Below are 26,029 nucleotides of genomic sequence, written 5' to 3' on the forward strand. Positions count from 1 at the left end.
TGGGCTCAAGTGATCCTCCTGTCTTTGCCTCCCAAAGTGTTGGGATTACAGGCGTGAGCCACCCTGCCTGGCATTTTTTTTTTTTTTTTTTTTTTTGAGACAGTCTCACTCTTTTGCCCAGGCTGGAGTGCAGTGGTGTGATCTCGGCTCACTGCAGCCTCCACCTCCCGGGTTCAAGTGATTCTCCTGCCTCAGCCTCCGAGTAGCTGGGATTACAGGTGCACACCACCACACCCGGCTAATTTTTGTATTTTTAGTAGAGACGGGGTTTCACCACGTTGGTCAGGCTGGTCTTGAACTCCTGACCTCGTGATCTGCCCACCTCAGCCTCCCAAAGTGCTAGGGTTACAGGCATGAGCCACCGCGCCCGGCCCAAAAATGTTAAATTAAATATGTGGCTCACATATTTCTACTGGACAGCAGCAGTCTGTCTTAAATCCTTCTACCCATCCTTCAGAGTTAGGCTCAAATATCACATCCTCTGAGACACCTCCCTGAGAGAAAGTATTTTATTTTTATTCTGCTTTATTCACTTTCATAGCTAAGCATAGATGCCAGTGGTCACCTGCCCTTGGCACCATCCTTTTGTAGTTATATATGTGTTTGTACAATTCCTTGGTGCATGCCTATTTTCTTCCCCACCAACCTCTAAGCTCCACAAGAGCAAGGCCCGTGTTTGGCTCCTCCCTGGAAACCTAGCACCTAGTCCAGAGCCTGGCACACACTTCAGAATGCCACAAGGAGTTATTCCATCCACTGCCCTGCCTTTGGGCAGGATTGTCCCCAACCATCACTGGAAGCCTACGCACTCCCTTCCCCTGGCAGTGCCACTAGCCCTTCAGTATATAGATTCTGCCTCTCCCAGATGGAAAGTCCTCCTTTATAGCTGACCAGAATCCCTCCTGCTGCAAGATGGCCGGGGCCCTTTCTCCCGTCCTTTAAGGGGAATTACAGCAGCACTTCTCAAATTTGGGTAACATGCCAATCATCAGGAATCTTAAAATTTAGACTCTGGCTCACCAGGTCTGGAATGAGACCTGAGATTCTCATTCCTAACAAGCTGCCCTGTGACAACACTGCTGCCGGGCCATGCTCTGAGTAACAAGGATATAGACAGCCTGTTTACCACCGTCAGAGCAGCCCCTAAGTTTTCTTCCTTGTCTGCATGACCCTCTACTGAGCAGGCTATTTGGGGTCTCTTGAAATTCCCTGTCCCTTCTTGCTCCTACGCATACCTCGCCAAACCCTCACACCCTGCAAAGGAATGTGGTGCCTGTGTCTACTGCTGTCGTTGATTTTTTTGTTTTAATTTGAAATAAACCTTTAAGCAGTTTTCAAAGTCAGGTTAACCCTGATATGTATCCTGGAAGGGTAACAATACTCTCCAACGATAAAGTCACACAGCTGGGAGTGCTGAACAGGATGGGAAGAAGGTTTCTTCCCAGGTCACCAGCAGTCCTCAAGCTTGGCTCCCATCTGCCACAGTGGCTGGTCCGATCCCAGCAGCTTCTCCAGAAGGCTCCCCTCTGCAGTTTGGTCTCAGATGCTGGGAAGTGTTGTCTCTGACATGTCCACTGGGAGCTCTGGAAACCAAGTGTGTACTGCTGGGCCCGAGGGATGGAAGTGTCTTCTGGTGGCCTCAGGTGTGTGTGTGTGTGTGTGTGTATGTGTGTGTGTGGTGTCTGTGTCTGCGTGTGTACATGAACACACATGTGCAAGTATGTATGGTTGTATATGTGGACAGGGGTTTGAGCGTGTGTGTCTTGTGTCTATGTATGCATGGATGGATTGGAGTGTGTGTGTATGCTTTGCCCCCGACGTTCCAGTTCAGGAAAGCTTGAATCACGCAGAGTAGCACTGAACTCTTTCTGCATGGGCCTGGAGGCTGGACAGTGTCCCTAGGCAGGCCCTGCAGATGTGAGTGGCCCCACTGTCCCTTGCTGCTGCTGCTGTTGCTGCCCCTTGCGTCTTCGAGAGCCAGCACCCGCCTCCTTGCTCTCCTTCCTGGCCAGGTTCCTGTTGGCATTCTCCCGCCGGCCCTGGCCTCCCTTCCTCCTCTTCTGCCCTGAAACAACCAAACAGCAGGAAGAATCAACAAAGGATGTGCAGGGAGGCCCTGGGCATGGCCACAGGCCCTAGGAGGGGAGTGTGAGGAAGCCGGAAGGGGAGGCAGGGAGGAGGCTGGAGATGCTGCCTCTAGGTAGTTGGGTCATCGTGACCTCCTCTGACAGCAGCCACTTCAGAGGACCCCGAGGCTTGAGTACTGGGAGGCAGCCCAAGAGCCCTTTCACTCCCCAACCCTCAAGGCACACAAGACATCATCCTCTTCCTCATGGATTCCTCAGACCTTGGATCCCAATGGACCAAGAGCACTTCCCAGGTATTCAGTGCAACTCTCAGAACAGGCAGGACTGCCCCCATCCCCTATCCGCCACCAGCCACCTCTGGGGCCAGGCAAGAGCAGCAGCCAACCCCTTGCCAACTGCAGGCTGTGTGACTTTGGTGGAATCACTACACCCCTCTGGGTCTTAGTGCCCCTTTTCACCCACCCATCCTGCCTCCGAGGGGCCTTCTAGTATGAACATCCACTAGCTCAGAAGAAATGGGGGAACCGGAAGGATGTTGACCACAGAAGCTTCCAGCTTCCACTATGCAGAGTTCTGAGGCCCTGTTCTCTGCCAGGACATGGCATCTGGATTGGACAGCATGAGGTCTTGAGTTGCGGGTGCCCCATCTGGCCTTGCCCTGAAGCTTCTTCCTGAGCCGTGGGCAGGAAGCAGAGGTGGCAGGACCTGTCATGGCTGGTGCCTGAGCCCTGACCCCAGGGAGGCAGAGGCTGCAGCTCACCCTCAGGACACGGCACTCTCCTCACTGTGCACCTCCGGGTCTCCTTGGTGTCAGAGCAGGCAGCATGGTCCCCCACAGGGGCATGTAGCACCCTGCGTGTCCGCTCCTCGGAGCCCCTCCGGAAACCACAGAGCTGCTGCTTCTTGGAGCAGGGCCCCCACGGAGACCACTCGCTCATTTCACATTGCGCTGGCAGGAAGAGAAGGGAAGGGAGAGAAGGACAAGGAGGAGGGGATCATGTCTCCTCCTCTGGCCCAGAATAGCCCAGGGGAGCATCTCCCACTTTCCTTCTGCCTGGACCTGAGGCTGCAGGTATCTTTAGTCCAGAGGGCAGAAAAGTCCTTGGAGACTCAGAAAGGAGTGGTAGGGTAAGCTCTCCCTGCACAGTGCCCCAGCCCACCCGCTCTCTTGCCAGACCCTTACCCGGCCCCTCCTTCTGGGGTCCTGGACCCTCTGCCCACAGTGCCTGCCATGGCTTACCAGGACTACTGCACTCCATGGTGCCATTGGCAGCTGAGGAGCCCTCGGGACAAGCTGGATAGCAGCGGCCCTTGTGCAGGTACAAGCCCTCCTTACACTTGGTGCAGAAGTTATGGCTGAAGCAGGCCTCACAGTGCTCGATCTTGCATTCTGAGGAGAGGACAGATTGGGGGCTTCTGGCCCAGCCTGGTGAGAATGTTTCCCCTCATCCCCAGCCCCAATACCCTCCCTTCTGTCCACACCCACCTACATGGAGGGCAGGACCCTGGCCTAGAGCTGCAGGTACTGCAGAGGAATCTTGGGAGGAAAGGGAAAGGAAGGGCAGTGGCAGGCCAGGGAAGAAGAAGCTGAAGCGGTTGCTCCTGAAGGCTGGCTGGGACTCTTGCCACCATCAGCCAACTCGATCATGAACCCAGTCTCAGTCCCTGCAGCCCAAGGTGAGGCTCAAGAGAGCAGTTTCAGAGGCGGAGGGTGGGGCCGTCTGGGCCTGGTGGGGGTGGGACAGGAGAGTTTCAGCATCTCACAGCATCCAGAGGGCCACCCTAAACAGAGTTGAACTGAGGGACAGAATGGCCCCCCAGAGAGTGGCTGCATGATCTCTTCTTCCCTCATTGCTGGGCATCTGCAATGTCCCAAACTGTGGTTCTCCTCCTGCCTGGCAGAAAGAATCAGCATGGAGGAGGGGTAAGCCATCCCAGGGCAAATGCCTCTGCCTCTGCAAGGCTGAGTTCCAGCAACAACCTTGGTAGGACTCCTGGGTCCCTCCCTGATTCCCTGCTGCCAGTTCTCTCCTCTGGGGGAATGGGGGCAGGGTGGGTCTTCCAGGGCTTGGCTGGAAGCAGGCAGGGTCTTTCACAATCTCTCCTTCCCAGAGTGCAGGCGGGGCTGACTTCCTCCCAGGCTCTGCCACCTGAAGCCCATGCTGCCAGTTTCCTAGGAGCTGGTGTAGCCAGGAGCTCCCGACTTTAAGGACCATGAGGACCAAGAGGGTAGCTCCCAGGGTCCCACCTCTGTCCTCACAAACTCCCACCATCCTCCAGGCTTATCTCAGCCTCACCTCTCTCCTTCCCTCCTTCCTTCCCTCCCTGGTGCTCTGATTCCTGGGTTTGGTTGCCAGTCAAATAAGAACAAAAATAAGAACAATAGCAGCTACCATTCATTGAGTGCCAGACACTAAGGGCTTTACATGCATGTCTCACAACAACCCTAGGGGGTAAAAACAAAGATGAGGCATTGAGGGGTTGAGATGTGCTCAAGGTCACACAATGAAGAAGTAGCAGAGTTGAGCTCAGAACCAACTCTGAGCTGGACTGGTCCAGTCTAGTCTTGGACCAGTCATTTACCCTCCGGGCCTGAATGTTGTCAGCCCTGAAAAGGGCACCATCAATTGTGTCCTGTCTCCCTCCCAGTGTTGTTGTGAGGCTCAACTGATATGAGACCTGCAAATGCATTCTAAATGGCAAGGCACTGAACAAGTGGTGGGGGCACTGGCATTGTCCCCCGAGTGTGTTCACACGTGTCCCCCAGCACATCACAGCTGCATCTACAGAGAAGGGATGGAGATATGGTAGCGTGTGCCTTGGAGCATGTGGAGCTGTAGCTGTTGTGGAAATGAGGAGTCAGAAGACCAGGGAGAGAAGAGAGTGGAAGAGCAGGCTGCCTGGGCTTGGATTCCCCTGCAGCCCATGTGGAGCTAGCAGTGGTTTTTAAGCAGAAGTGTGATGGGATAGGTTGTATGTCTCAGAAATGTGATGGGATAGGGATAGGTTCTGTGTCTCAGAAGTGTGATGAGATAGGTTGTGTGTCTCAGAAGTGTGATGGGGTAGGGTGTGTGTCTCAGAAGCGTCTTTCTGGCTGAAGTGCAGAAGATGGGTTTCAGGGAACCAGATGAAGGCTGGAGGACAGATGAACAGGCTATTGCAATGATCCCGGAGCAAGGTGCTGGGAGCCTGGGGAGGACAGTGGCAGTGTGGACATACAGGAGATGACAGGCAGGCTTTGGTGATTGGATGGATGGGGTGGGAGAGGTTGGCACTCAGGGCTGTGGCTTGGGTGACAGGTTGGGACATGGAGGGTGACCTCTGGGAATACAGGTAGGGGCAGGTGCGAAGGGAGGAGACAGGGTTCTGATATTTACACACCAAGGTGGAAGTGTGCGGCTGGATACTTGAATCGGAGCCTCATCTCCTCTCCTCAGAGCCCCCTCTGCTCCTCTTGCCAGCCACCAATGGTTCAAAGCACTCTCCCCCAGTCCAGAGCTTCTAATGCCCCCTGCCCCCGACAGCCCTGCCCACACTCACTGATGCACTTGTTCATGTCGGGGTTGCGGGCGTCGAAGTATCCAGGTGGGCAGGACGGCAAGCAGACGCCCACCTGGCGGATGTCGTTCCTCTCCAGCAGGATGAACAGCTTGGGTGAGCACTTGAGGCAGCCGTTGACTTCAGAGCAGAGCTCACAGCCTTTGGCACAGGCCTGGCTCCCCTCGGCACTGACTGCAAAGGTGGAGCAGGCATGAGAAGGCGGCTGTGGAGAGAACCTCACCTATCCAGATTCTGACAAGGATGGGAAGTGAATAGATCGATGTTTCCTTCCACAGAAGGAATATGCTTCTCAGAAAGCACCGGCCAGGCTGGCAGCTCTCTGCAAGGCTGCTTTATACACCTTCCCAGTAGCTTTTCTCCAGAGAGCTAGCACAGATGCTGACCCATGTGCTTCCCTAGCTCCAGACACGACACGAGTTCACTCTCTAGGCTGGCTCCACCATCCCCAGAGAAGCAACCCAAGCTGCAGCCTTCCTGGAATTTATCCACTCTCCCCAGAGCACAAAACAGTCAGCCTTAGTTGTAGAAGGAGGGTTTCTTAAATTTCTGAGAAAGTTTTAAGGGCAAGAGGGATAAATAGTGAAATAGAAAAGGACCACCTACCCAGAAACACAAAGACAATTGGAATAATCTATGCCTAGAACAGGGGTCTCAACCAGGGATGATTTTGCTCCCCAGGGGACATTTGACAATGCCTAGAAAGCTTTTTGGTGATCACACCTGGGGAAAGGGGTTGTTAGTGGCATCAAGTGGGTAGAGCCCAGGGATGCTGCTAATCATCCTACAATGCATCGGGCACAGCAAAGAATCATTTGGTCCAAAATGTTAATGACACTGAGGTTGAGAAACCCTGGCTCAGAACCATCCTTTGAAGTCGGGCGCGGTGACTCACGCCTGTAATCCCAGCACTTTGGGAGGCCAAGGCGGGCAGAACACCTGAGGTCAGGAGTTTGAGACCAGCCTGGCCAACATGGTGAAACCCCGTCTCTAATAAAATTACAAAAATTAGCCAGGCATGGTGGTGCATGCCTGTAATCCCAGCTACTTGAGAGGCTGAGACAGGAGAATAATCGTTTGAACCTGGGAGGCGGAGTTTGCAGTGAGCTGAGATTGTGCCATTGCACTCCAGCCCGGATGACAGAGCAAGACTCCATCTCAAAAAAAAAAAAAAAAAAAAAAAAAAAAGAGAGAACCATCTTTTGAGGCTTCATGGTTTTCCATCCCAGCATTGAGTCTCAAGATCTTTGATCTCACTTACTTGTTTAATCCTCATAGAGGCCCTTCCATGGACCTTGCGCAGTGTGAGCCCTGGGGACAGAGGTGTATAAGCCACTCTGTAGAGGAACTGATCTTTCAGTGGAGCAGACAGACCACAAATAGGTGAATGCTGACAGCCACAAGGCCAAGCAATAGTGGACCCAAAAGAAGGAGGGAAACAAGCCACAAAGGAGGTGTCACTGGGGACAAGTCTTAGATAATTTGTACAGATTTGTCCTTTAGGAAGTAGAATTAAGGGCACTCAGGGAGCAGGACCACAGAGGTGTAAAACTAGGGAAAGGCAGAATTGCAGATAACTTGGGGTGGAGATGGGAATGGGAGGGGACTGGTGAAAGATAAGGTTTTCTATCTTTATATCATGCTAAGGAACTTGAACTTGAGCCTGCCAGATGGCATTTCCCAAAAAGTATTCCTTACAACTTGATTCCCCCAACTATGAATAGGAGAATGTGGAGAAAGGCTACTGTGTCATGTAAGTCCAGGAACCAGTGGGTCAAACAAATCTAAACAGATTTCTTTACTGCAGGCCTAATGGAAGCTTTATTACTCTCCTGTGCACAGTGACTCTCTGAGGGGGGACAGAGTGAACTGCATTTCCCAAGCATTTTGGCCACAGAACACTTGTTTCAGGACCTTCTCAGACTGTTTAGACATCAGGGAACCATTAGAACATATTAAGCAGGGATGAGACCTGGCCCAATTTACATGTTGGGAAATTTTCTCTGGTAGCCAGGGTGGAGACCAGAGATGGAAGAACTGTTTGGGAGGAAGCTGACTAGATCATCCAGGTGAGAAAAGTGAGAAAGTCTCAAAATTATGTTCCACAGGGATAGAGGGAAAAAAGACAGATTTGAGAGATGCTTAGGAAATGCAACCAGTAGGCCATCGTGGCTGACAGGCAGAGAGGAAAGAGGCATGGGGAGGAGCCTGGGGTGATTCCCAGATGTTTGGCCTGGGGTGTGGGTGAGCTGTGGGGCCAGACGTGAAAAGAAGCCCATGGCAAGAGAAGCGAGTTGAGAGGGAAGGAGAGGAAGGAAAGTAGTTACATTGAGTGGAGATGGGAATGGGAGTGGAGTGGTGAAAGTTAAGGTATCCTGTCTTTGTATCATGCTAAGGAACTTGAACTTGATCAAGAAGGGCAACAAGAGCCAGGCAGCGGCCGGGTGCAGTAGCTCACGCCTAGAATCCCAGCACTTTGGGAGGCTGAGATGGGTGGATCACCTGAGGTCAGGAGTTCAAGACCAGCCTGGCTGACATGGCAAAACCCCATCTGTACTAAAGATACACAAAATTAGCTGGATGTGGTGGTGGGCACCTGTAATCCCAGCTACTCAGGTGGCTGAGGCAGGAGAATCACTTGAACCTGGGAGGCAGGGGCTGCAGTGAGCTGAGATCGTGCCACTGCACTCCAGCCTGAGTGACAGAGCAAGACTGTCTCAAAAGACAAAACAAAACAAACAAACAAAAGAGCCAGGGAGAGAGGAGCTGCAGATACAGGCAGAAGGCAGAGAGCTGGGAAAATCAGAATAGAGATGGTGGGAGGTGGTGCAGGGTAGTGGACCCAGAGCTCAGGCTTCAGAGTCATCAGGACCCAGAGCCAGATTCCCAGTCTGGGAAGCTGGGCAAAATCCTGGATGTCGTGTGCTTCCCTGAAAAGGGGAGATAAGGATGTCCACTCCGGACAACTGCTGGAGTGAGTCTATGCTGCAGGAATCATTCCTGGTTTCAGAACAGGAGAACATGGAGGAGTTAGGAAGGAGAGCAACCGAAGGAAGGAAGATGATAACAAACACCAAACCATCACAATAACACAGTAATAACCACAATGGCGGCAGTGTGTTACTAAATGTTGAGCACTTACTCTGTGGCAGGCAATGTTCTCAGTGCTTGACAAGTATTAACTCATTTAATCCTTACAACAACCCATGAGGTAGGTACTATTGTTATTTTTTTAAAATATATTATCCTTTTTTTTTTTTTCTTTTGAGACAGTCTCACTCAGTCACCCAGGCTGGAGTGCAGTGGCACAATCTCGGCTCACTGCAATCTCCGCCTCCCATGTACAAGCGATTCTCCTGCCTCAGCCTCCCGAGTAGCTGGGATTACAGGCACCTGCCACCATGCCTGTCTAAGTTTTTGTATTTTTAGTAGAGACGGGGTTTCACCATGTTGGTCAGGCTGGTCTCGAACTCTCGACCTCAGGTGATCCACCCGCCTGGGCCTCCCAAAGTGCTGAGATTACAGGCGTGAGCCACCCCTCTTGGCCTATTATGCACATTTTTATAGATGAGGGAATGGAAAGGTAAATTACTTGAATAAAATTTCTCAGCCAGTATGTGTTTCAGGCAGAGCAGACAAAGTATAGGGAGCCCAGGGTAGGACAATATGAGGTGGCATGGAAACTAAAAGTGTGGTTAGACTATATATTTTTGGAAAATGAAATTTATGGGCTGGGTGTGGTGGCTCATGCCTGTAATCCCAGCACTTCGGGAGGCTGAGGCGGGCAGATCGCTGCAGCCCAGGAGTTCAAGACCAGCCTGGGCAACATAGGGAGACCCTGTCTCTATTACAAAAAATAATAATAGACTGGCCAAGGTGGCTCACACTTGTAATCCCAGAACTTTGGGAAGCTGAGGTGAGGAGTTCGAGGCCAGCCTGGCCAATATGGTGAAACCCCACCTCTACTAAAAATACAAAAATTAGCTGGCCGTGGTGGCATGCACCTGTAATACCAGCTCCTCAGGAGGCTGAGGCATAAGAATCACTTGAACCCAGGAGGCAGAGGCTGCAGTGAGCCAAGATCACCTCTGCACTCCAGTCTAGGTGATGAGCGAGACTCTGTCTCAAAATAATAATAATAATAATAATAATAATAATATATGATAAAAATAAAAATCACGATCATTCTTATTGGTATAATCATTGTATGAGCAAAAATACTCCAAATGCGGCATTGAAGTTATGAGGGAGTCCTTTGGATTATTTTTCTATTCTGGGTCTTTATTCAGCTGTGTTACAAATTCACGAGTCATTATAGATTTTAGGCACCACTTCCACTTCAAAGATATTAAATTGTCTATGACTCACTGTTTTGATTTAATTCATTGTTGACATGAATGCGCCCTCTAGGTTTCTGCCTTAGTTTCAGTAATGGCAGTGATCCCGGCATCCCATTTGCAGCCCTCTCAAGCGATGCTGCCATACTCATTTATTCCTTCATTATCACCTGTGTTAAGAACAGGTTTGCAAAAGGCGCCCTTTCAGATCTGCTGCCCACCTTCCATTCCACTAGCAGCAAGTCCCTGTGTGCATTTTTCTTCAGCACCATCAATGGCACCGCAGAGAAAGTATGGCACACCCAGGGAAGGGAATCTGGAATCAGGTCAGCATGGTGGGAGCCTGGAGCGAGTGATGAGGCGGGAAGTTGGAGAGGGAAGCAGGGGCTGGATGAGGAAGGGTCTTAAGCCTGGATGAAGGAGTTCACACCCTATCCTGAAGGTCAGAAGGAATCAGTGGGAGGTTTACAACAGGAGACACAGTCAGGATTCTATTTTAGAAAGATCACTCCGTAGAGTGGTGAATGGATTTTCCGAGGGCAAGAGTGGAGACAGGAAGACTCCCAGGCTAGAACTCCAGTCCAGGAGAGCTGGGCTGAGCCAAAGAGAGGGGAGGGAGTAGACACACGTGAGATGGTCAGGCGGCAGGGTCAACAAGACAGGGTGATGCATTCAACAAGAGGGGGTGAGGGGCAGGGGCAAGGTGACCTCGAGATGCTGGGCTTGTGTAACAGCCCTTCCCTGGGAGAGGGACCACAGGAGGAGGAGGGGGTTCGGGTGGGAAAATGACGAGTAGCTAAGTATTAGACATGTTGAGTTTGCGGTTCCTGTGGAACATCCAGGGAATGATGTCTATTAGGCAATTGAACACATGGGTCTGGAACTCAAGAGAACTATTTTGGCTGGAGATTGAGACGCTGAGTTCTTTTTTCTTTTTTCTTTTTTCTTTTTTTTCTTTTAAGAGTTTTTTTTTTTTTTTAAGAGATGAGATCTCACTGTGTTGCCCAGGCTAGACTGCAGTGTCACAAACGTAGCTCACTGAAGCCTCAAACTCCTGGGCTCAGGTGATCCTCCTGCTTCAGCCTCCTGAGTAGCTACAACTACGGTCACATGCCACCGTGCTTGGCTAAGAAGAGGTGGAGTTCTTAACATCGAACAGTCATCAAAGGCATGCCAGTCCATGAGGTGGCAAGAAGAGTGGGTCTGGAGAGTGAGAAGAGGAACTGGACATTGAAGAGAAGGACGGAAAAGTCTTTAGTCCACTCAGAGGCAGAGGAGGAGCCAACAGACAGGCAGGAGACACTGAGAAGTATATAGCATCATGGGAGCCCAGAGAAGAGTACACTCAGAAGAGAGAGGCATCAACACGACAATTGCTTCTGAGATGTCATGTGAGCCCAACCTGGTGGTGGCGACCTGGTAAGTGTAGTTTTGGTGGGGTGGTGGGGTGGACAGCAGGAGGCAGTTGTTCGGCAGTGAAAGGAAGGTCAGGAAGTAGAGAGAGGAAATAGCGCCCCCTCTTTCAAGAAGTTGACTGTTGGCTGGCATGGCGGCTTGTGCCTGTAATCCAGCTGAGGCTGGAGGATTGACTGAGTCCAGGATTTCGAGGCTGCAGTGAGCTAAGATTGAGCCACTGCACTCCAGCCTGGATGACAGGGCAAGACCCTGACTCAAAAAAAAAGAACCTGATAGTTAGATCTGTGGGAACAGAAGAGCCTGGATGGTGCCTCAGGCAACACCTGCATTCAACAGCTAGGCAAGAGGAAGGGGAGCTTGGGAAAGAAGTGGAGAAGGATCCTTGGATAGCTGGGAGGAGACTGAGAGACAGAGGTGCCAGGAATAAGGTTGAAAAGGGAGAGATCTTCAGGGACCAGGGCTGGGAGGAGACAAGGCCAGTGAGCTCTGAAACAAATCTGCAAGACTTGACTCTCAGTGATCATTGATTAGGTGACCTTGAGAAGGGCAGTTTTGGTGGAGAGGTGGAGATGAGAGCCAAACCACAGTGGGCTTCGGAGTGAGTGGAAGGGAAGGAGTGGAGATAAAGCCAGGAGGGTGAGAGAGAAAATCAGAGATCACAGACAGAGAAGGGGAAAGCATGGCTGGGGATGGGGAATGTGATTACAAGACTCAGAGGCAGGGGACATTGATGGAGTAGAGACCCGAGGACACGAGGAAATGGGAGCATCAAGACACAGGGCTCAGATGCTAAAGCTGGCCTTGGTTAGGAGGAGGGACCAGGGGGTCAGGTAGCTGAGCTCCATGAGGGTTTGGGGGCTCAGAAGAGGAATGGGGGCTCAGTGACAGGCAGGGTCAGTTCAATAAGGAAAGGGGTGTTTATCAAGGGGGACAGGAAGCACAGGATGTTCTCAGCTCAGAGAGGCAGTGAGGGGATGGGGGGAGAGGAGAGGGGGCTCGACAGTAAGAATGTGCCCTTGAAGGAAGGGTCCAAGGAAGACGGTTCATATTTGGGGGAAATGCATAATGATTCAGAGCAGGAAAACTAAGTCTCATTTATTTCACAGATATTTACTGCACACCTCACAGGTGCTTAGGGCTACTAGGAGCTGGAACGTGGAGGTATAGCCACAAAAGCCCACCCGGGACGAGGGAGGCAGGGCTGGTTACATATCTGGATGTAGAGAGGCAGAGGGCACTCCCTGACCCAGAAGCCTAGGGGAGGAGGGTGTTCCACACAGGAGGAACAGCCAGTGCAAAGCCTCCGAGGCACTGAATATCCTGGATCGACCATGGCATGGAAAATAGGGCTTTATATAGCACGTGCCTGTAATTCCAGCTACTTGGGAGGCTGAGGCAGGATCCCTTGAGCCTAGGAGTTGCAGACCAGCTTGGGCAACATAGCAAGACCCCACCTCAAAAGGAAAAAAAAAAAGAACATAGAGCTTTATATATTCTCTCTCCCTCTCTTTTTTTTTTTTTTTGAAATGGTGTCTCACCCTGTTGGCCAGGCTGGAGTGCAATGGCGCAATCTTGGCTCACTGCAACCTCCGCCTCCTGGGTTCAAGCGATTCTCCTGCCTCAGCCTCCTGAGTAGCTGGGATTACAGGCATGCACCACCACACCCAGCTGATTTTTTTGTATCTTTAGTAGAGTTGGGGTTTCACCATGTTGGCCAGGCTGGTCTTAAACTCCTGACCTCGTGATCTGCCCACATCGGCCTCCCAAAGTTCTGGGATTACAGGCGTGAGCCACCAAGTCCGGCCGAGCTTTATATATTCTCTTGGTGAAGAAAGCGACCAATGGAAGGGCATCGTTGGGTTGGTAGTTTAGAAAGCTCTCCTCTAGCTGGGCACAGTGGCACATGCTGTAGTCCCAGCTACTCAGGAGGCTGAGGCAGGAGGATATCTTGAGCCCAGGAGTTTGAGACCAGCCTTGGCAACATAGTGAGATCAAGACCCTCTCTCTAAAAGAAAAGAAGGAACAAAAGCAAGAAATTTCCCTCCTGCTGCTGCCTGTTATGGGGGGTGTGCAGGGCAAGCGGCCTTGCAGGGCTGTAAGCCTGGCTGAGGAGGCCGGGTGGACTCAGCGAGGGCAAGGGGTGCTTGTGGGGGAGGGAGCCTCCTTCCTGACTTCTTCAGCACCCCCAGCTCTGCCCTCCCCACAAACCACCATCCCCCCCAACCCCACCTCCCTCAGCTCCCAAGCACCCTGCTCTCCAGCCCACTTCGCTGAGCTAGCAGAGCAAGGCTGTGCCCTCAATTCCCCCTCTTCTAGTCTCCTTCATCCTACGCAAAGCCCTTTTAAGTTGCTGTGGCTATGATGAGGCACTGCTCCAGGGCAGCTCAGCCCCACACCCCTTGAAGAATGGTTCTGGATCGCTGCCCCTCCCCGCTAGGGGCTTCACTTCTTCCAGTTCCCAATTTCTTCATCCCCAGGAATCTTTCTTAAACTAAAAATCTGATGGTTTTACACCCCATCCTATTATCTATCAATAGCTCCCTATCACCTACAGAATTAAGACCCAGCTCCTTGCCTGACCTTAAAAGCTTTTGTGGGCCCATCCCATCCACCTTACCCCTCAGCACCACTCCTAAGCAATATCAAACCATTTTTGTTTCTCTGGACATGTCGCACTATCTCACACCTGTGTGCTTTTGTTCAAGTTGGTCCTTCTGCCCAGAACACTCTCCACCTCCTCTTGAGCCTGACCAACTCCCTCAAGCCTCAGAACTAAAGTCACCTCCTCCAGGAAGTCTTCCTGATCTCACCTCCCTGCAAAGTCTCAATGGAGTATTTCTCTGTGTTACCACACCCCTAGTACTTGAATCTGTCATGGTGAACGTCACCTTATATTGTTATTATCTGCTAACATGTCTTTTTCTCTCACTAGAAAGAGCTTTGGCAGGCAGAGCCCATCACTTCTGAATGGGAGCTCAGTAAAGGATAAGGCTCCACAAGGGTATAAGGTTGAGGATATGGTGAATGAGACAGAGGCTTGAGATGAGGGGTGGTGTATGGATGGATCTTAATGAAAATTCACTACAGTGGAGGGACCAGGATGGAACATGGATGAGGGACTCAGGTGGGATGGGTTAGGGACAGTGGTGGGTGGAGAGAACTCACCGTGACCCAGAGAGTGATAATCTTGGTTTTGGGGTGGAATCTAGTCTTGGAGGAAATGGGTTTGGTAAGAGAGACCTGAGTTCAGTTGGCGAGGGTAGGAGGATAGGTAGTGGGGCCTCAGCCAGGAGACTGAGGAAGTGAGTAGGCCAGGGCCCCTCTCAGGCCACATGCTGTCCCAGGAGGTGGATCTATCCCTGTGGCTTCCTGGGACCTGCACATTCAGCAAGCCCTGGGCACGTCCCGCTGGTAGGCCCAGGATTCTTTTTTTTTTTTTTTGGAAACAAAGTCTTGCTCTGTCACCCAAGCTGGAGTGTAATGGCACAATCTCAGTTCACTGCAACCTCCGCCTCCCAGGTACAAGCGATTCTCCTGCCTCAGCCTCCCAAGTAGCCAGGACTACAGGTGCACATCACCACTCCTGGCTAATTTTTGTATTTTTAGTGGAGACAAGCTTTCGCCATGTTGGGCAGGCTGGTCTTGAACTCCTGACCTCAGGTGATCGCCCGCCTCAGCCTCCCAAAGTGCTGGGATTACAGGCGTGAGCCACCATGCCAAGCCAGACCCAGGATTCTTTAGCTCAACTGTGAGCTTACTTTAGATCCTCACTTTTTCTTACCTGGGCTGTTTGCTTCCCGCCTCAAGCCACCTCCCCCACCCTCTATGCAGCTGGGCTCTGGGCTCCTTGATGAAAGCCTCAGTAGCTCCTCACCCACTGTAGCTGGAGTCAGGCCAAGTCCAAACTCCTCAGCCTGGCAGGTGAGAAGAGCTTAATAACCCGACCTCTACCCTGCAGCATCTTCTCCCCGGACCCTCCCCTCAGCCCCAGACAGCTTCCTTGCTCGATCCCAGTAGGTTCTGGATGGCTTGTTTAGTGGCAAAACACTTCTTTCCAACAGAAAAAATATGAGCACAGCTTCTCCAGTGGAAATCCTAGGGCTCTCCAGAACCCCCTTGATAATTCATTTCCCCAGCTACTCCTAGCTGCACCCCACTTCCTAAAGGAACACTCTATGCCTCCTCCCAACTCCCCGGGGCTGTCCATGCCCTCGGGTTTTCTCCTGTGCGGCATTCCCGAACTGGATTGACATTTTGTCTTCCCCCACTCGCTTGCGGGCTCCTCGAGATTCATCTCTGTGATCAGGGCCAGCTTGCAGGATCTCAATGAACATTTGCAGAATGACCCAAGGAAGGACTGGGGATTCAGTGAGGGATGAGGGACTGTAAGGCTGTCAGTGCAGCAGGGGTAGAGGCTCCAGATGGAGGATGGGGCAGTGAGAAGAGGCACAAAGGGGGCTCCTGGCTTCTGGAGAAGTCAGGGCTCAATGAAGGAATGATGGCTTCCTGGGAGGCAGGACTGAGAGAGGGGGCCCAAGAATCAGAGAGGAGAAGGGGCTCAGGAAGGAGAATTACTCAGTGCGAGGGATGAGTGGGAATGAGGGCTCAGGAAGGTGCAGGGACCCCAGATCAGGGGTGAGGGCTAGCAAGAAGACAAGGGGCTTAGTGAACAGGAGTTCAGGGAGGGGCAGGGTCCTCAATGAGTGGAGGAGGGGAACTTCAAGGGGACTTCACCACTCACAGCTAAAGAGAAGTTCTTTGCTCAACTTTTCTCGCTCCATGCAGGCAGACCATCACTCAGACTCCGAAATCAGACATGGCTTCAAAACTAGTGTATAATAGCTCAGAATGAGATTTAGATTGAGTGGCTTCTGGTGGCCCTCCTACCCTGCAGCCGAGGACTGTCAGCCAGAGTCAACAACCCTGAGGCTCATACACAGCACACCTACCCCTGCCCCGAGGTCCACCCAGTGCCCTTCCACGCTTGTCTTATCGAGAGGCCAGGCACACACAGCTGTCTTGGTCTTCCTTCTTCCCTTCCCTACTCCCCCAGAATCAGTAAGGCAAAATGGTCTACACATTGTTTATATAACAATGATTTGCACCCAGAGTCTACACAGAACTTGATGTTTTACAAAGGTGTTAAAAATATATATCTATTGAGGTGGGTGGATCACCTGAGGTCAAGAGTTCAAGACCAGCCTGGCCAACATGACAAAACTTTGTCTCTACTAAAAATACAAAAATTAGCCAGGCATGGTGACACATGCCTGTAATCCCAGCTACTTGGGAGGCTGAGGCAGGAGAATCACTTGAACCCGGGAGGCGGAGGTTGCAGTAAGCCAAGATCGTGACACAGCACTCCAGCCTGGGTGACAGAGCAAGACTCCATCACAAAACAAAACAAAACAAAACAAAACAAAACAAAACAAAACAAAACTATATATATATACCTATTATCTCATGTAAGCCTTACTATCCTCCTATACATTGCATTTCAGCTTCCTGATTGCGATGACTATGGCTATTACATAACAAGTATTGACAAACAGCACAACCTTCATCCCTCCCTGCACCCCTGAGCCTGTCTCCACACCTCTCCCCACCCTTGCCTCTTACCATCAAGGATGTCTGTTACTCACATCACTTGGTAATGAAAACTGGCTCATGTGCTGCCACGGCTGTTAGATGTGGCCATATGAAAAGCGAGCAAGCACGTCAAAATTGGTGCAGGAGATTCGCCATCGCTAGGACCAGGCCCTTTCTGATGCCAAGTCTAGTACTTCTTTCCTTTTTAATACAACAGACTTGAACTCAGGTCCTGTGACCTCTGGTTTAGCCAGGCATGAGGCTCTGCATGGGTGAGGGTCAGCGTTAAGCACATGTACACATTGCATGAATGTGAATGGTTCCTCCCATTCTCTCTCTCTCTCTGTCTCTCTCTCTCTCTCATTTCGGAAATAGAGGAGACCGATTATAAACCGCTAAACCGCATCTGGCCCATGGAGTCCAAAATACTGGCCACAACAGATGAGAAGGGAGGAAAATCAAGGCCTTGCTGCTGATTAAACCTAACCGTCTCTAATTGTTTGTTAAGCCAGGGATTTTCAGCTTCACCAATTCTCTGAGCTTCTCTCCCTGGGCTGAGTCCTGGCCTTGGCTGCTCCCGTGGAGCCCCAGCAAAACCCCACTGCTTTTCAGCCTTCACTGGGGGGCCTCCGTCTGCAGGGAAACATGAAGCAAGAGGGAGCTGGGCTAGACTTCAGGAAGATCTCCTGCCTGTGGGTGTGGCATCTTCTCATGCGGGATGTCAAAAGACAGATGAGGACTTGGGACTCTGGAGTCCCCCACCATCTCCCTCGTGTGGGCCCCTCACACACAGTGGCCACCCCTACAGCACTGGGGCCCCATCACTGGAGACCTTAAGCAGAGGCTGAGGAGTGCCTATCAAGGGGCTAGGGACAGATTACCCTTGACCTCCATCAAATTCGGCTTTCAAGAAGACTGGGCCCACAGGCATTGGGAGACCTGGGTTCCAACATCAACTGTATCTCCTTAGACCTGTTTCTTCCCCTTTCTTAGCATCTGTACAATGATAGGATTTTGGTTTTCTTTTTAAGCTATGAGAACCCTCTCTTCCAACGACTTCTTATGTGGATGCTCATTACCAAAAGCAGGGAAAAGTGAGACTGCTCTGGTTTGAAGCGTGGTCGGGCCAGACCCCTGCCTGCTTGTCTCCCCTTCGATGCCACTGTAGCTCCCTGAATCCCACTAGGCATGGTTTAAAAGCCACAGCAGTGGACAGTCTCCTGACCCTCCCTACTCCACTGTTCCTGCCCTATGATCTGGGCAGGGGAAGCCCTGTTACCCAGTGCTAAGTTGTGCAGAGCTCCTAACCCAAAAGGGTTGATGGCTGCACTTTAGCCAAAAAAGGAGCCCCAGGGCAGGGGGATTGGGGAAGCATCTCCATGGATACCACACAAAGCTGGTGTTATGTCAAAGCACATAATCCACAAAGGCATAATCCACAAACTGGATCCTCACAAGAGAGGGGTTAATCTAGAAAGCAGAGTCTACAAAGGGGAAAACAGACAAAGTGAGTCATCTACAGAGTGGGTAATCTCAGCAAATTAATCCACCAATTGAATAATCCACAAACAGGATCATCTACTGAGTGATCTACAAAGCTATAATAGATAGAGTGGAACTCTGCAAGGGTCATCATGGAATAAAACTCCTGAAGACCCCTAGTTCCTGGGTGGCCCCCTCCCATTCCCAAGGCCAGCTGTGGCCCACCATGCTCCATTACTCACTCCGCCTCTGCCTTTTCCCCTTGATCCCCCGGCTGCTGATGGTGAGGTGCGTCCAGCTCAGAACCAGGGCCACCACACACAGCCCAAGCCGCATAGTCACGCGCCAGCTCCAGGCCCCTGGTCGGAGGGGTGGTCTCGGGGAGGGTGGATAGCACACGGCTCTTGCTAACACCTCTGGGGCTGGGTCAGCAGCAGGAGGCCCAGGCCTGGGCCGTAGCCCAAATCCACCATAATCTCAGCTGGGGACAGAGAGGGTGTGGGGAGCCCAGTTCTCCATCAGCTCAAAGGGAGGTCCTCAAAGAGAGACTTCCTCAAAGATACCTCGGAATATCATATGAGAGATCTTTTTGTCACGTCAGCAGGGACTACTCCAAAAACCAACCTGTCAGGGAAGGAGAAAGAAGGGTTAATTCTGTAGTACCATGAACACTCCCACTTATGCCTCCTGCCCTACCCAGAAGACTGGGAGCTCAAAATGTTTGGACATTACAAGTTACCTACCTAGCACCTTTCTAGAAGAAATCTGCTCCTTTTCCTGTCTTACAGAATTCCCTAACCTGGGACCGGAGCCGGCAACCTGTGTAGCCAGAATATGGCAGACATTCAAACCAAACTTGTGGATCACTGATGATTTCTCAATAACGGGAGCCAGCTGGTCCCACCCCTGCTTCATGTTGTCCAGCTCTAACTGGAAGTCCTTCCTTAAGTCTACCCTACAGACCTCATGCTGCAGTAGTATCCTGTCTCTTGAAGAGGAGCTCTCTCTCTCTCTCTGTCCTTGCATGAGTGACCCCTCAGCCTTTTCTTCCCGGGGCTGAGTCACCCATGTGCCTTTCACCTGTCCTGGAGTTAGAGCAGTGGCCCCCGGCAAGCTGGCAGACCCTGCCTGGCCCTCTGGGCTTGGCGGGAGAAAAGGAAGTAAGGCTTCCCCCGGCCACAGAAACTCTGACACAGCAGGCCCGGCGGGCCTGGCCTTTGTGAGAGGATAAAAGAGGCAGCAATGCCCGCCCTGGCCAGAGACACAGAGAATGGGGATAATCCCCCAGCCCAGCGAGAGCCAGGTCTCTGGACCCGCTGGCCGGCTGGGGTGATGGGGGCAGGGGAGCCGGTCCCTCCCCTGATCAGATGTGTCTGGGAAGTTGGACATCTGAGCCCAACCTGGGAGTGAGAATGAAAACCCTGCTTCCCCGTCACGGGATCACACACATGCTCTGATGCTCTCAAGGTTCTTCCACAGCAGCGGCCTGCCCACGCACACCCCACACTCCCCCACACACACCCACACCACAACAGAGCATGCAGGCCAATAGCACAGAGTCTCTGTAGATGCCAGGGAGCCATCACCTTCCCCTCCAGTGGCTAGATGCCTTCGAACAAGTCATGTAGCCTCACTGAACCTGTTTCACATCTATAAAATGGGGACAAGCATGACTATGTCACAGGCTAGCTGAGAGTCAGAGAGTTCAGGCTCAGGAATGAGAAATCTGAGGTGCTGGAGTGGAGGTGCCCCTCCCACCCCCTGTCCTAATCCTTTCCCCTCTAGGCTCTTCAGTGCCAGTCCACCCCCTCGCCTGTCAGGGAGGCCCCAGCAGAGCCCACCTGCACGGGAGATAAATCATTATCCCCTAAGGGAGTTCAGTACCTCCCTCCTTGGCCTCTCCCGCTGGCTTTGAAGGCCAGACACACTCAAGTGGTTAAGCTGCCTGTGAGAAGTGTTTACATGAGGCTGATGGATCCCACCTGGTGCTGTGGCCTGAGCCAGAGGAGATGCCCCCAGCTACCCCCAAATGCCCGTCAGCTGCCAACCCCTGCACGCCCCTCCAGTACTCCCTGCCTGATTTACCAAAGCCTTTCTATCCTCCCCAGCCCCCACTACACAATTCTCTCACCCACAGATTATAGATGTCCAGTTGAGTTTATCAAACTGGGGTCTTCTGGCCCAAGTCTGTAGTCTCAGAGGCTGGCTGTACAGCATGATAGTCACGGGCATAAACTTCAGAGTCAGACTGCCTGGATTTGAATATTGGTTCTGCTACTTATTAGCTATGTTACCTTGCTTAGCTGGTCTGAGCCTGTTTTCTTATCTGCATGAAGGTTATTGTTGTTTATAACTTAAATGAGTTAATACACAAAACTGCTTAGAATGGTGCTGGCACACAGTGATGACTCAATAATATTTGCTGTATTTGTTATGACCAAAGCTTCACTTTGTGTCTACATTCTAATAATCATTCAAAAGGCAATATGAACATGTTCTGTATCATCTGGATACTAACCTTAATACTGAGTACTGTTATGCAATTTCCATATTTGCATTTATCTTTATGGTTGATTGCCTCGACACCAAAGCGATCACTCAGAGTGATAGGATTTGCCTTTAATTGCAGCATTTCTCAAACTAAGGTCTGAGAATCCCTGGTAGATCTGTTCCATGAGTCCTTACAGTTGACAAACACTGCATTAGACAAACTTGGTGTTAACCCTGGATCTGAAAGACTTTGGACTCACTGCGTGATCAATATCCCTGGGGTTTTTTGGGGCACAAAATGTCCCCTATGCATCTCTGCATTCCTTGTGCCAACCTGTCATGGTGCCTGGCAATTGAGGGTGAGTGCTCGGCAAATGTTAGCTCCCTTCTTTTTCCTCCCTCTCCTCTCCCTCTAAATTCCTTCTCAATCCTCCCAGGTCCTAGTTTTCAGCTGACCCCTGCCACACTCACCCAGTCCTTGCCAGCGGTGATCTTCTGGCCCACTCCCACCTGAATCACCAGGAAACCACAATCTCAGCTGGAAAATCGTAAGGAGGATCCAGATGTAAATTTCACTGAAGCAAGTGACACTGGCCTCCCCCACCTCTGGGATGGGAAGAGTTGCAAGCACTTTTTGAAAATGTACATATAGAATCAACCCTGTAAAGGGGCTAAGAGTTCCTCTATACCAGGGGGTACAAATGACATATATGATTGAAGCTGGATGTGGAGGGGGTAAACTGGAGGGTAAATGCCCCATCTAAAGGGAGCATATGCCGTTCAGCTCTGACTGATTGTTGAAAGATCTTCTGATTTTCTAAAAGAGGAGTGGAAAATCCAGGATCTTACATGAAATCTGATTTGAAATGCTGGACAGGTCTCGGACTAGGAACCCTGCAGCACCAAGCCTCAGAGGGCCACAGGTCCCTGCCTCAGTGGCTCCACATTCCTGCATCTAGTCCCTGACCCCATATGCGCACACACAGGCATGCACTCTTGCAGACATGGACAGCATGGGCTAGGGCTGAGAGAGGAGATATGAGCTGATGACTCCCTTTTAAGCAGGCTGCTTCATTTCTTTTAGAGTCCTCTGTCTGATTTCCTTTGAGCCATGGGCTATATGGCACTGGCAGTTTATGTTTTTGAGGCTCACTCTACACAGATAGAATGGGGACTGCTGGCAGTGCCTCAGGTTATTGGTGGGGGTAAGAAAGGGCATTTCTCTCTGCCACTGTGGGGGTGAGGGATTCACACTTGTTAGATGCCTCCCTCCACCTGCCATGTGCCAGGTCTTCGTTTACTCCTCACAATGGAAGGAGGAAGGTAGAATTATTTCCATTTTACAGGGGAAGAGACCTGGCCCTGAATGGTTAAGTGTCCCAGGGGTTACAGACCCAGTTAGGGACCTGCCCTCAGGTTTGCTACCCAGGACTGGGTGTGGGGAGGGCGGGGCAACCCGCTGGGAGCTGCTGAGTGTGGGGCACAACCCAGCTTGGGGAGTGGACCTGCAAAGTGGGGACGGGGCTGGTGGCAGAGGCAGAGCTGAGAAGGGAGACCAAAGCGAGAGGCCACAAGGGCCTCGGAGGGGAGTATACAGGTCGGGGAGGGGGACACAGCTGGAGGTGGAGCTGAGGGCAGAAACTCAGCCCCGGGAGGGGGCTGGAATCACTTTCACCTTCTTGCCTGCAATACCGTCAGAATAAAGTGGTACTCCATCAGGGGCCCGATACAGACCCAAAAATGTAAACTATCTAGATAATTTCGCATTAGCCCTCCCCGGGCCGGGCTACAGGCTGGAGAGTTTTGGCCGCCCAGCAGGCTGGCAGGCGGGGGCAGAAGAATTGCGGGCGGGGGGCGGGACAAAGTATGTGCCTGTCCGACCTGTCGGGATTAGCCTGTCTGTCGGAGCCAAGCCAGGTGCTGGGGCCGTGCCCCCCCTCCAAAAGCAAGGGCAGCGGAGGATGGCTTCTTCACCCCTCCATCACCCCCGCAAGCGCGCACATTCTTCTTCCCTCCCCCACCATCCCGCAGAGGCCCCAACAGGTGCCGAGGGAGACGCGGACCTGAGGTTCCCCTGGCTGGCCCTCAAGAGCCAAGAGAGCTGTCCACGTCTGAGAGGCCAGTTTCACAAGAAAACTCCTGCCCCCAAGCACACTCACTCCAAGTCTGTCCCGGCCCTCCAGGGAGTCCCGGGCGAACATAGCCCCCACCTCTCCCCAACTAAGCGATACCATCGGTTCCTGAGCGCCAGACCCCGAGGGCCAGGGAGCCGCGCCACTTCGCTGCGCACCGGGGGCCGCAGCGCATGCCGCCTGCCACGTCGAACCCAGGCCCAGGCTGCGGACTGGGGTGGGGGTCACCAGAGACCGTGGGACTTGGGGGAATCCGAGCCAATGAGCCCCAGGATCAAGAACTTCTGGATTGGAGGCGGGGTATAAACAGGGCTGGTGGACTTGGGGAATTCAGGACTGCGAGTGAGGATGATCACCCGGGGCTGCGGGATGGAGGGGAGTTCGAGGGGAAGAGGCTGCCTGCTGGATTGAGGGCCGACGGGGGCGGCAGACTTGCAGGAAGGGTGCAGGAGGTGCCCTGTCCTGATCGCCGACCGGAGAGCGATCAGACTCCCCTTCCTTTCTGTCTCCCCCCACGCACCCAGCTAGAACCAGCCCCGACGGGAGGGCCCGCCGCGCCCCAGCTCCCGGGGAAGGGGGCGCTGGGGAGAAGGATGGGGCAGCTACGAGGGGACTCACCTTCGTGCTGCCAGTCGCGACGGGGGCAGGCCCGGGAGGGGCGAGGGCGCGGCCCGCTCACCCGCCCGCTGCGGGACTGTCCTGGGCGCCCGGCTCGCCTGCGCTCCGCCCGCCCGTTCCCAAGTTGCTCAATCTGCGGACGGCTCACGCCCTCGGGGCCAGCGCCCCACCCGGCGCATCGGTCCTCCGGGGCGGCTCGGAGCTGCCCTCGTTCTCCGCAGCACCCGAGCGGATGCCCTACTCTGGCCGGTCGCTCCGGGCTCTCTGCCCTGCGCTGGTGCTCTCCGTCGCGCCTCCGCTCGGCCGGAGCTCCCAGCCCGGAGAGGGGCCAGTCCTCTGCGAGCACCAGGGAGGGAATCCCCCCCTTCGCAGTCCCCCCCGCGAGCCGGCCCCCCTTCCAGGGATCCGCAAGAAAAAATGGACTGGAGCGCCGGCCCGGGAGTCCACACGTCCTTGCCCGAAGCTGGCGCTCTGCGCTCCGAGCGCGGGGCTGGCGGAGGGACAAGTCCCCAGGACCCTGGGGCAGACCTTCTGCTTTTGTCCCCTGCCCCTCCCCGCGCCCCGGGGATTCCACGCAGCCAGAGAACCCGCAACAACTCCGCTCATCTTGGCGTCAGAACGCGGCCGGAGACCCTCATGAAAACCCCAGTTTCCCCATCAGGAACCTGGAAAGTGACAAGGAACAGGCTCCACAGAGCCTGGTGGTCTTGACCACACCCTCTCCCCCTTCAGGGTCAAATCTTCTGTGCATCTTCCCAGTTCAGAAGAAATACCAAGGCTATCAGATCCTGGGCACCGAGGTGAGGACACCTCCAGAGGCAGCTGGTAGGTGAGAGTGAGGGAGATCATACAATAACACTTAGATTCATGTCTGGCTCTATCACTTACCAGCTGTGTGGTCATGCCTAGGTTACTGAACCTCTCTGAATCGCAAGGCTTCATCTGTTCTGAGGGTTCAATGAAATGAAGGCTACAAACTTCTGGTTAATGGTGGGAACCCCATACATGTTTGTGGAATGAGTCTTGAACGGCTACAGACACCTGCAGTGACCCAGATGATGTTGAAGTCAAGCCCGAAGAAGGGAGGGAAGGAGACTCACTTCTTAGAGTGACAAACAGCTGTTCTCCAGCTTCACTTCAGATTGGGAAAGGAAAATGGGCTAAAACTGTAGTTAGTGGGAGTTAAGCTAGAGCAGAAAAGATGTACTGATTGTGTGTGTGTATAGGGGGGGTGAGTAATCAAGACAGGCTGTGGAATCTCCCTCTTAGGAGAGAAGGGGGGAGCCCTGACTATTGAGTTAAGGGCACAGGGTCGTTTACAATGACAGGAGGATGGATGTAATGACCCCTAGAGTGTCCCAATGGCCAGGGAACAGGGATGGTGGATAGCCAGAGAAAGTGGAGCAGTTGGGTCCGAAATGCCCAGTGTCTGGGTTCATTCAGCCAGAGCATTGCCAAGTTTGCAGGAGGCAAACAGTCATTTCCGAGTTGGTCCAGGGGCCCCCTCCAACCTCCAACCCCCACTCAAGTCCCTCCTCTCTCACCTCTGCCCTGAGCCTTCCCTGCGTCTAACCGGCCCTTGGCTATGCTCTGTGTCTAATCAAACAGCCCCAAATGCCGAAAACTCAATGTTTATTTTATTTTATTTTTTTACACACTTGCATAACTCTCTGACAAGCCACGCCAGGCATTGGGCTTTTTGTTTGGTTTTATTTTGTTGCATTTAGGAAAAAAAAGAGGGAGAGAGAGAGAAAAGAGAAGAAATAACACAAACCACACAGCCCTAGAAGCTGTCCTAGGCCAGGCAGTGGGCTCGGGTTTCCTGCCTGAGGAAAAGTCTGTGGAAGTTGGGGGGCCTCGTTACTAGGCTCAGGAATGAGTGAGAAAGGGAAGAAAGCCACCTGGGTGACAGAAGATAACGAATTAGAACCATGTGACAATAATGGGTGAATAAGAAAGAATGTTTCTTGTGCACCTAATGTATGCCAAGCACTGTGTTTTGCACATATATTCTGTTACCTAATTTCGCAACTATTGTAGTTCCTTTCTTTTTTCCTTTTTTCCCATAAATGTAAATTCTGATCCTCAGAGACGCCAAGTCAATTGCTCAGAGACACACAGCCTGCAAGTGGCCAGCCCAGTTCAGGTTATGCCAAATGAGTTGTTTCCCTGGGAAAGCTGTGTTGCTCTAAATTTGCATATGCTGTTCATTCTGCTTAGAAATGTCTTTTTCTCGGCCAGGCGCAGTGGCTCACGCCTGTAATCCCAGCACTTTGGGAGGCTGAGGCAGTCGGATCACGAGGTCAGGAGATCGAGACCA

General features: G+C 52.4%; 1 protein-coding gene across 5 annotated transcripts, besides 7 other annotated features; it reads right to left on the bottom strand.

Moving 5' to 3' along the window:
• RSPO1 (R-spondin 1) lies at positions 494 to 24,036 on the bottom strand. Of its 5 annotated transcripts, NM_001038633.4 has the most exons (8): positions 23,710 to 24,036; positions 21,431 to 21,497; positions 20,988 to 21,166; positions 18,712 to 19,093; positions 5,628 to 5,819; positions 3,328 to 3,477; positions 2,848 to 3,036; positions 494 to 2,065 (listed from the first exon to the last, which is right to left on the bottom strand). In NM_001038633.4, exons 4-8 carry the CDS (start codon positions 18,803 to 18,805, stop codon positions 1,899 to 1,901), a joined length of 792 nt encoding a protein of 263 aa, NP_001033722.1. In that variant the 5' UTR covers positions 18,806 to 19,093; positions 20,988 to 21,166; positions 21,431 to 21,497; positions 23,710 to 24,036; the 3' UTR covers positions 494 to 1,898. The 5 variants fall into 5 exon arrangements, with proteins under 5 accessions (NP_001033722.1, NP_001229838.1, NP_001229837.1 ...); NM_001242909.2 differs by lacking the exon at positions 20,988 to 21,166 and having other exon boundaries at positions 19,033 to 19,093; NM_001242908.2 differs by lacking the exon at positions 20,988 to 21,166.
• Positions 11,301 to 11,595: an enhancer, noted in NCBI's record as "tiled region #1490; K562 Activating non-DNase unmatched - State 20:ReprD". NCBI's record gives its function as "activates a minimal TATA promoter and a strong SV40 promoter by Sharpr-MPRA in K562 cells {active_cell/tissue: K562}" and the evidence as "EXISTENCE:reporter gene assay evidence [ECO:0000049][PMID:27701403]".
• Positions 19,734 to 19,903: an enhancer, noted in NCBI's record as "experimental_7814 CRE fragment used in MPRA reporter constructs". NCBI's record gives its function as "activates a minimal promoter by MPRAs in K562 erythroleukemia cells, with activity observed for the non-introgressed 1:38096347 variant allele {active_cell/tissue: K562}" and the evidence as "EXISTENCE:reporter gene assay evidence [ECO:0000049][PMID:34662402]".
• Positions 19,734 to 20,318: a biological region, named in NCBI's record as "H3K4me1 hESC enhancer GRCh37_chr1:38096333-38096846".
• Positions 19,805 to 20,318: an enhancer, noted in NCBI's record as "H3K4me1 hESC enhancer chr1:38096333-38096846 (GRCh37/hg19 assembly coordinates)". NCBI's record gives its function as "activates a minimal SCP1, AML or CMV promoter by ChIP-STARR-seq in primed H9 embryonic stem cells {active_cell/tissue: H9 hESC(primed)}" and the evidence as "EXISTENCE:reporter gene assay evidence [ECO:0000049][PMID:30033119]".
• Positions 22,327 to 22,854: an enhancer, noted in NCBI's record as "H3K27ac-H3K4me1 hESC enhancer chr1:38098855-38099382 (GRCh37/hg19 assembly coordinates)". NCBI's record gives its function as "activates a minimal SCP1, AML or CMV promoter by ChIP-STARR-seq in primed H9 embryonic stem cells {active_cell/tissue: H9 hESC(primed)}" and the evidence as "EXISTENCE:reporter gene assay evidence [ECO:0000049][PMID:30033119]".
• Positions 23,383 to 23,910: an enhancer, noted in NCBI's record as "H3K27ac-H3K4me1 hESC enhancer chr1:38099911-38100438 (GRCh37/hg19 assembly coordinates)". NCBI's record gives its function as "activates a minimal SCP1, AML or CMV promoter by ChIP-STARR-seq in naive H9 embryonic stem cells {active_cell/tissue: H9 hESC(naive)}" and the evidence as "EXISTENCE:reporter gene assay evidence [ECO:0000049][PMID:30033119]".
• Positions 23,911 to 24,437: an enhancer, noted in NCBI's record as "H3K4me1 hESC enhancer chr1:38100439-38100965 (GRCh37/hg19 assembly coordinates)". NCBI's record gives its function as "activates a minimal SCP1, AML or CMV promoter by ChIP-STARR-seq in primed H9 embryonic stem cells {active_cell/tissue: H9 hESC(primed)}" and the evidence as "EXISTENCE:reporter gene assay evidence [ECO:0000049][PMID:30033119]".

This window comes from Homo sapiens, chromosome 1, assembly GCF_000001405.40.
Source record: "Homo sapiens chromosome 1, GRCh38.p14 Primary Assembly".
NCBI classification, from domain to species: domain Eukaryota; kingdom Metazoa; phylum Chordata; class Mammalia; order Primates; family Hominidae; genus Homo; species Homo sapiens.